The sequence below is a fragment of the Homo sapiens genome, chromosome 1 (assembly GCF_000001405.40).
Source record: "Homo sapiens chromosome 1, GRCh38.p14 Primary Assembly".
Lineage (NCBI taxonomy): Eukaryota > Metazoa > Chordata > Mammalia > Primates > Hominidae > Homo > Homo sapiens.
In genome coordinates this window covers 158,350,199-158,359,919 of record NC_000001.11, presented here as the reverse complement: position 1 = coordinate 158,359,919, position 9,721 = coordinate 158,350,199, and the positions used below count along the sequence as shown (strand labels likewise).

Here is a 9,721-nt window from a genome sequence, read left to right as displayed (position 1 = left end):
AACTTATAAAGAAGGCTTTGGTAACTTGCTATTCAGGAAGAATAATGAAGCAAACAGAAGAAAGTTTGGATCTTGAGAAACTAGTAAGATAATGGAACCATTTACATAAGGAAGTGAGAGTGAGAAAATGGTTAATGAGGAAAGATTATGAACTAGTTCTAATTCCTTAAGAGTAAAGTCTAAGTTTCAAAAATCTATAGGTACCTTCTATGCATAACCTGAAGAAGGAGTCATGTGCCCTTAACTATACCTACTCATCTGAACACAAGCTCCAGAGCAGGTGCTGCATCTTTCTTTGTTTGTAGGTGATACACTTGGAGGCCTGGACCCCTGTTTCAGTTTATGTTGCTCCACTTATCAAGTCTCCCATATCCTCAGCTTATCTCATTCATTAGATAGAAGATAGCAGACAGGTTAGGTCATGGTTTATCCGGGGCATGTGGCTACTGCACTCTTCTGAGCTTTGGCCCCAGCATATTCTGATTCCACCAGTCCCAATGCATTCTCCCTCAAACAATGAATGCTATTTCTAGAGAAATTTAGCAATCATCAAGAATACCCCCTCCATCTCTTTTTCCAAAACTACCTACTTTCATTCTTACTGTATTTGTATTTACAACAGAATGCAGAAAGCTCCAGATGTGTACTGTCAGTAAAGCAGATTACCTTCTTTGTTTTATACCTGGTGGGAATGGAAATTGGTATACTTAGCTATTGAAAAAAACTACACTGGTCTTCTAGAATAAGTCCCATGTCCCAGAGTTTCAGCCAGAATGAAGTTGTTAATAGTATTAGGTAACATCTCTGTCTTGGGGGCAATTTAGCAACATATTTTGCTCCTAAGTACACCATCATCCAGGAGTTATAATGAAAATACCCAGCCCAAAGGTTTACCACAGTACAGGGAAGACCTAGAGCTTTTCTGACACTATTATGGACTGATATTTAAACTTCCTCAAGTCCTGTTGAGCTGATACTTCTTATAACATGATTATTTGTCCTCTGGCTCTTTTTTTAATCCTTCTATGTCATTTTATGGGGAAGAAGGATGTATATGTGCAGGCAGCCCAGATCTATTGTCTCCAGAGGTATAGCTTGTGCCTTTCGCACACCTTGTGCCAAAAACGGAAAGGTTCCTACTTGAACCTCTTCATTCTAATAGAGGTCCTCCCCTGTAGAGTTATACCACGTGATGGAACCCTGACCCCTTTCATCATTTGTTGCTCCAAACAACCCTTTAAGATTCTACCTTCCTCTCCCGATTCTAGTGGCCTGACTCTAGATAGACTGATTGGATGTGCCATATGGAAGGTGATGGACTCTCAACAGTGAAAAGGCTGGCCTCATACCTTGTTCATGAGTAAGAGTGCAGCCTGGATGTGTGATCATGGGACCCTTGCTGATTACTTGAAAATGCCCAGCATGAAGTTTATAACTTCCACTAAAAAATCTGCACAACCGGCTGGGCGCGGTGGCTCACGCCTGTAATCCCAGCACTTTGGGAGGCCAAGGGGGGTGGATCACGAGGTCAGGAGATCAAGACCATCCTGGCTAACATGGCGAAACCCCGTCTCTACTAAAAATTAAAAAAAAAATAGCCGGGAGTGGTGACAGGCGCCTGTAGTCCCAGCTACTGGGGAGGCTGAGGCAGGAGAACGGCATGAACCCCGGAGGTGGAGCTTGCAGTGATCTGACACCAGCCACTGCACTCCAGCCTGGCCAACAGATCGAGACTCCATCTCAAAAAAAAAGAAAAGAAATATGCACAATCTGCTCAATTATTCCATCCAAGGGAGGGGTTGACTGGACATGTATATAAACACTGCACTTCTACCAGATTCCTGCTCTCCAGTAGGCTCAACCAAATGTATCTCAAATGAAGTAAATTATGTAAATGTAAGAATCCATATAAAAACTAAAGAAAAACAAACTGTAAATAATAATAACAATAATAAGCCACACTAATAAATAAAAACAAGCATGTAGCTTAACTGGCATCCAATCACTCTTTTGCTTCATTGCCTTAGCTCTGGCTCAAACCCTATGTCCTCCTTCTAATTGCTCAAAATATGAATTTCTCCCATGAATATGCACATCCACAAAGACACACATAGATACACATGGCTCAGGGAAGTAGGAATGCCAGTTCAAACCTCTCCTCACTTTGACAGGAGATAGCCCTTATGTTATTATTTTCCTAAATATCCCTGAAGATTCATTAACATTCCAATCACTGTGGAGTCTGAGGCATTCATCTGCCTCCTTCACCTCTGGTGAGAGACAAAGGGAGAGAGGAAGAGTTTTAGCAAGAGCACAGTCAAATGACGCAGAGATATCAGAGAGGGAATGGAGTAAAACAACATCACTTGATCTAACAACAAATTTATTTCAGTCAGCATTTATTGAGAAATATTACATTCACACTGAATCAGCTATATAATTTGTGGGGTCAGTGAAAAATGAAAATACAATATCTCTTGTTTGAAAATGACTAAGGATTCCAAGATGACAACAGCAGAGCATTAAATCTAGCATGGGTTCTTGCAGAGCATACGATTCCATGTGTCTGCACAGGTCACATGCTTATGAAGCTGGCCCTGAATTCAGATAAGATTTTTGGTCATGAATACAGACACAAATACCTAAATCCTACTTTCAAGCAACTGAGATTAAAAAAAAAAAAAGAGCAAAAACCTAAATAACTACTGTTCAGAGTAGGAAGAGATGAATGTGCTTGTGAAGATCAGTTCAATTTGGGGAGTACAGAAGAGCTATCAATTGGGTGATCTCGGGAATCCATGAAAAAGAAGTATCTGGATTATAGTTTCAAAAATAAACAATGATGGATATGTAGCCAAAGCAGGAAAAAAAAAATCTCTGGAAGATGGGGAAAAAGTATTCCTAAAGGGGTCAGTATCTTTGCTAGTATAAACTGTTTAAATAAAAGCATGCTTCCCTTATGGGACATGGACGGTGTTTAAGAAGATGCAGACAAGGATTTTATGTATAAGGTAAAGCAAATGTCACCAGAGTTGGTTTAGGCGTGTCTTCCACTTCTTCAATACTCTGTTTTTGATCCACGATACTTGTGCCAAGCAGAACTGATGTCTTGAATTCTTGGTGTCCTGAGTGTTGGCTCCCATGAGAAAGACAGGGCTGGGTGTGTGGGGAGAAAGAATGTTCTTATTTGAACTGTGGGAAAAGAGGAGGATATTAATCTCAAAGAAAGGAAATAAAGGGGAAAGGCAGAGAAAAAAAAAAAGAAGATAGAGGAAAAAGGAATGAATTGATTACAGGCTGAAGAAACAAAGAACAAGAAAAAGCTCACCTCTGTTTTTTTAACCGTGAGTCAACTACAACCAATATGACCAGGGTAACTATCACAGTCAAACAGATCAGGATGAGAAAGATGGAATATCCACCTGGTTGGGGATAGAATAAGAATACCAACCCTAAAATACTCTATTCCACCAAGCTGAGATTTCCCATTTCACAAGGGTGGGACCTTCCTAGAATTTTCATCTGGGTTTTCCAAAGCCCTCATTTCAATTCCTCCTGATCCTTTGTCTGTGATCTCCTCCCAACCCTCTCCCACTAAATCACTAGTTCCTCCTCCTTTTTCTGTTAGTATGTCTAATTCTCTACTTCCATTTTCTTAAAATTTAACTACTGTCATACTCTATCCTTCTTTATTTTGATTGTCCCAGTTTTACCCTTCTTGTACCTAGCATTCCTACCCATTTCCTCAGCCCCACACTCAAAAGCCCCAGGGCTATTTTCATTATTTCCCAGCAGAGCCTCAGCTGTTTCTCACCCCAATGGATGATTAGATCATGGCCCCCTAGACTGCTGTGTTTCACCCGACAGGACAGGCCAGCTGCCTCCCCAGCCGCCACATCCAGGGTTGCTCGGAGATACCATGTCTCGTCAGCATTAGGCAGGACGTCCCCTCGCTGAGTGCCCCGCTGCTCCTGCTCACCCCGCATCCACATCACCCACACGGGCTTTGGGTAGAATCCTGAGACATGGCACACAAGCTGCAGACGGCCAGGGCCAGGACTGGGGCCACAGGACAGCCAGGCCTCTGGCTTCACTAGGAAGAAGAAGATAGAAAAAAAATGGAATTTTGAAGGGCACCCCAGGCCAGAGCTCAGAGACTCAGGTGCCTTTGTAATAATACTAAGAGTGATTTAGTAATCACTTCTTTCTCTTGTCTAAGAAACAGTCCTGAACCCACACATCTCATTCTCTAGTCTCTCACTATGTCTTTCAAAATGATGATGAGAGGCAAATTCAAATATGAGAGTTATAGTACTAGGAACAAGAGGGGAGAGAGAGAGTTGGGCTCACCTTTCCGTTTCAGTTCTGACTCCCCTGCTTCCATGAGCCCCGCTAGAAATCGAGGGCAGGTGTGACCAAGAAGGCTTTGCAGTATTTCCTTAATATCTAGGTAGCGATTGAGCACTTTACAGATGTTCTGGGCCCGGATCCCTGCTCCTGGAGATGGCTCCCAGGAAATTCCTTGGAAACTCAGGAAATCTGACCCTTGATATGCCATATTTAAGAAGATTTGTGGGGCATTCATTCTACAGCCAGCTAATATCTGGATCTCGAAGGGGTCTGAGAGTGGACAGGGAAGAGAGATCATTATGGAAAGAATGACAAGGAAGAAAAACAAACAATTTAGACAGTAAAGAGATTCAAGGGAAGAAAAATTTGCTGGGAAATCATATGGAGACTAGAGTTTACTGGCAAAGGGGAAGAAAATTTGTGGGAAGAAAATTTGAAGATAATAAAGATACTTTGAAATAACTAATGGGAAAGTGGTAGATGGGAAGGCTATCAGGAAGATAGGAGATTGGTCATAAATAATTCACGTGAAAGTGGTTAGGTACAGGCCAGTCCATGTCAACACTCAGGCAAAGGATAAAGAAGGGCAGAAAGAGGGTTGAGAAAGGCTGAGTCTGAGGGCAGGAATGAGGGGCAGAAGATCCAGAGGAGACAATCATTCCAAAGAGCCAGACATGAAGCTATATTCATGTTGAGATATGTACATGCAGGCCCTTTTGTGTATATGGTGGAGTGTGGGTGGTGGTGAAGGGTGAAGCAGAGGAGGGAGTGGGAGTCAGAGAGTGGGGAACAAGGTTAGTAAGGTTAAATGATGGTCAGAGTCTATATACTATCTTCCACTTTGGAAAATAGTTGGTGTTCCCAGGCAAATTATCAGCTTAGAGCAACGAACTTACATTCAAGCTGAAATTGACCAGCAGAAGCTTGCACTATCTGGATAAAACTATGGAAGTATAACTGGAACAGTGACTGTAAGTTTTTCAGCTCCTGCTTGCTGAAGTTTCCATGGGACCAGGGCTTCAGAAAGCGGATGGTGCCCAAGACAGTGTCCCAGCCATGAGTCTGCAGGTCACCCAGCCATCCTGAGCCCTCACTGTGTGCCCAGCTGTGGTTGGCAAAGGAGGAAGTTTGGAGCATGCGGAAGGACAGCTGCTCCTCTGCTGCTAGATGATAGGATTGTAGAGCCTGGGGAGCTGAGAGAGAGGGAAATGACAAGTAGAGAGAATGTAAAGGGATGGGAAAAGTGATGCCAAAGGGAAAAAAGGAACCCAGAGATGAGAGACAGTTAGGTAGCTTGTACATACTCCAATACCCTTTTCCTGTGGGGCCAGCTTCCTTTCTCCAAAATCAGAGACAAAAACTGAGACTGAGAGCAAGAATTCTCTGCCTGGAACTAGCCTGAAAGGCATATTCCAAGGGCATCCTAGAAGAGTACTGCTCCCTTCCCCCAGGACCTCCCCAGAGCTTCCTCTCAGCCCTCTGGTGCCCTACCATAGGTATCTTTCCACCTGCACTCTTCTTACCTGCTGTATTTTCCCCAGGACAGCAGAGACCCTCGAAGAGGAGGAACAGGAGCAGCATTGAAGCTCTGTTAAAGGAGGGATTCCTTGGCAGGACACCTGCCCTAATAATTCAGATATCAGTACCCCTCTCCACACCCTCTTGCACTCTCGTCTGACTTCCCTTGCTGTACAGACAGACAAACCTCTCCCTCTGCTGACTTCCCTGTCAGAGAAGCCACACTGCCTCGCTTTGCTGCAGCCTCCCACGGGGTTTTTCATTTCCCCTCTGCCTCTCTCACTGTCTGGCTCCAGATTTTCTCCCTGCTCTTGTGTACATCCTCCCAACCTCCCTAATTGCACTAACTGCTGGAAAACGAGTCCTGGCTTAAAACAAAGTCTGTGGTCTGGCTAGAAGATGGAGTAGCTTTTGGCCTTGTAGAAATCAAATCCATACTTGGCTTGTCAATAATCTAATCTGTGAGAAGTGATGGTAGTCACTCAGTGGTGCCTAGTGACCTATCCACCAGTCTCCCACTTCTACCTCTCTGTGATCCTCTCCTCCGCCTGTATCTCTTCACTCTGCTCTTGATCATGATCAGAAGACACTCAGCATCCTGGATGTAGCTGCATAATAAGCAGGCAACCCTCCATAATCCAACTCTCTGTGCTGCTGAAAAAGGAGCAGCAATGGCAATGCAGATTATCAGAAAATCTAAAGAAAGCTCCTTTTTTTCAGTTTCCCCAGTCAAGCCAACTGTCACTGTTAAAGTGGTCCATGAGTGGGCTTGACCTGGAAGTGGTGAGCTAGAGGGCAGGTAGATTTCACCCATGTTTTACAGGTGGCTCTGGAGGAAATACATAGGGGACTTGGATCCCCATCTCTACCCAAACGAAGAAAGCATGTCTGGAAGTCTGTGGGCCAGCTTTGCCCTGGGTATGAAGAAAGACTGAGGGCAGGCATGAAGCTCCTCATTAGTTCATGGCCTGAGAGCATTGGAGTCCCCTTGCTTGCGTTCGGTTAGAGAGCAGTTTGGGTGGACACAGGGAAGTACCTTTAGAGGACTGAAGTGTTCACTGGAGAATTAATTGAGTCTTTATTTTTGTTTCTTTTTCATTGATATTTGTTGTGACACTCTGAAGGCAGTTGAAATAACATTCCTTTGTTTGGTTTTTATATATTTGTTCAACTGACATTTATTCAGAGCCCACCTATGACCAAAAACAATTGCCAGGCCCTAAGATATCAGAGATAGACATCTTTGGGAAAAAATAAAACAAAATTCAACCCCAAACCTCTACTTTTCTTATACAGTAAATTTACTGAACGGTGGTCAGAATTATTGAAAAAGGTCCAAACCTAGTTTCATCTTATTATCATTTCTAAATTCTAAGTTAAAAGAAAGATAAAAAGTTTCCTTGTTTCCTGAGTAGAATATCTACATTTATTTTCAATACTCTTTCTGTGCTGGAGAGGTGCTGGAGAGGATGTGGAGAAATAGGAACACTTTTACACTGTTGGTGGGACTGTAAACTAGTTCAACCATTGTGGAAGTCAGGGTGGCGATTCCTCAGGGATCTAGAACTAGAAATACCATTTGACCCAGCCATCCCATTACTGGGTATATACACAAAGGATTATAAATCATGTTGCTATAAAGACACATGCACACGTATGTTTATTGTGGCACTATTCACAATAACAAAGACTTGGAACCAACCCAAATGTCCAACAATGATAGACTGGATTAAGAAAATGTGGCACATATACACCATGAAATACTATGCAGCCATAAAAAATGATGAGTTCATGTCCTTTGTAGGGACATGGATGAAGCTGGAAACCATCATTCTCAGCAAACTATCACAAGGACAAAAAACCAAACACCGCATGTTCTCACTCATAGGTGGGAATTGAACAATGAGAACACATGGACACAGGAAGAGGAACATCACACACCGGGGCCTGTTGTGGGGTGGGGGGAGGGGGGAGGGATAGCATTAAGAGATATACCTAATGTAAATGACGAGTTAATGGGTGCAGCACACCAACACGACACATGTATACATATGTAACAAACCTTCACGTTGTGCACATGTACCCTAGAACTTAAAGTATAATAATAAAAAATAAATAAATAAATAAAAATAATTAAAAAAAGAAAAAAAAACTGCAAACAAAAAAACAAAAGAAAAAGGTCCAAACCTAGTTTCATCTTATTATCATTTCTAAATTCTAAGGTTAAAGAAAGATTAAAAAAAGTTTCCTTGTTTCCTGAGTAGAATGTCTACATTTATTTTCAATACTCTTTCTTTTCTACAAATACATTCAAAGCTATAAGTTGCTATGTAAATCTATCTATAAATCGCTATGTAAATCCAAAATTGGTTTCATAATAAAATTATGAACAGTAAACAAAGATAAATATTCAAGAGAATATATAATAACCTACAAAAACAATAATACATAATAAAAAGATTGGAATGACCTATGCCAAACATCAATACTACAAGTAACTGTATTCCTTAGAATTTTTGTTTTGTTTTGTTTTTTCCTGAGACGGAGTCTTGCTGTCTTGCTCTGTTGCCCAGGCTGCAGTGCAGCCACAGGATCTCGGCTCATTGCAACCCCCGAATCCCTGGTTCAAACGACTCTCCTGCCTCAGCCTCCTGAGCAGCTGGGATTACAGGCAAGAGCCACCATGACCATCTATTTTTTGTATTTTTAGTAGAGACAGGGTTTCTTCATGTTGACCAAGACGGTCTCGATCTCCTGACCTCGTGATCCACCCGCCTCGGCCTCCCAAAGTGCTGAGATTACAGGCGTGAGCAACCGTGCCCCGGCCATTAGAATTTTTGAATCAGGCCAGGCACGGTGGCTCACACCCGTAATCCCAGCACTTTGGGAAGCCAAGGCAGGCGAATTCGAGACCAGCCTTGCCAACATGGCGAAACCCTGTCTCTACCAAAAAAAGTAAAAATTAGCCAGGTGCCATGATGTGTGCCTGTAATTCCAGCTACTCAGGAGGCTGAGGCAGGAGAATTGCTTGAGCCTAGGAGGTGGAGATTGCAGGGAACTGAGATTGTGCCACTGTACTACATCCTGGGCAGGAGAGTGTGACTCTGTTTCAAAAAAAAAAAAAAGAGGGAGAATTTTAAAATCATTTGCAAAGTAAAATAAAGCAAAGTATATTTAGAGAATAAAACAATGTTGTTATTCCACAAAAAATTGCACTTTTATGTAAGTAAAGATAACCACACCCTAGTTTTTAATTTTGAGGCTACAGAACTCACAGATAACTGCAAATTACTGAGCAAAGTAGAAATAATGTCTGACAGCAACCCCATAATCATTAACAAAATAATGAAATTCCTTCTAAATTAAAATTATCCAGAAGATAAATTCCAAAGAAAAAATATATATTAATTTTAATTTTTGTAACATTATATGGTACAATTATTTCCTTCCTGCTTTACAAAATTCCATCAGTGGGCCAGGCACAGTGGCTCACTCCTGTAATCCCAGCACTTTGGGAGGCCGAGGCAGGCAGATCAGGAGGTCAGGAGATCGAGACCATCCTGGCTAACACGGTGAAACCCCTCTCTACTAAAAATACAAAAAAATTAGCAGGGCGTGGTGGCACGTGCCTATGGTCCCAGCTATTCGAGAAGCTGAGGCAAGAGAATCGCTTGAACCTGGGAGGCAGAGGTTGCAGTGAGCCAAGATTGTGCCACTGCACTCCAGCCTGGGCAACAGAGAAAGACTCCGTCTCAAAAAAAAAAAAAAAAAAAATATTCCATCAGTGCCTAACCACATTTTTTACTAAAAATACTTAGTGTCTGTGGCCAGAGGTCTCTTTTAAAAAGAAATT

The 9,721-nt window shown here is 42.3% G+C and overlaps 1 protein-coding gene across 18 annotated transcripts; it reads right to left on the bottom strand.

The window, feature by feature from the left end:
• Positions 1–2,366: 2,366 nt before the first annotated feature.
• CD1E (CD1e molecule) lies at positions 2,367–6,026 on the bottom strand. Of its 18 annotated transcripts, none has more exons than NM_030893.4 (6): positions 5,874–6,026; positions 5,247–5,543; positions 4,351–4,620; positions 3,815–4,093; positions 3,329–3,422; positions 2,367–3,192 (listed from the first exon to the last, which is right to left on the bottom strand). In NM_030893.4, exons 1-6 carry the CDS (start codon positions 5,929–5,931, stop codon positions 3,024–3,026), a joined length of 1,167 nt encoding a protein of 388 aa, NP_112155.2. In that variant the 5' UTR covers positions 5,932–6,026; the 3' UTR covers positions 2,367–3,023. The 18 variants fall into 18 exon arrangements, with proteins under 18 accessions (NP_112155.2, NP_001036048.1, NP_001036049.1 ...); NM_001042583.3 differs by having other exon boundaries at positions 2,367–3,156; NM_001042584.3 differs by having other exon boundaries at positions 3,919–4,093.
• Between the last annotated feature and the right edge of the window lie 3,695 nt (positions 6,027–9,721).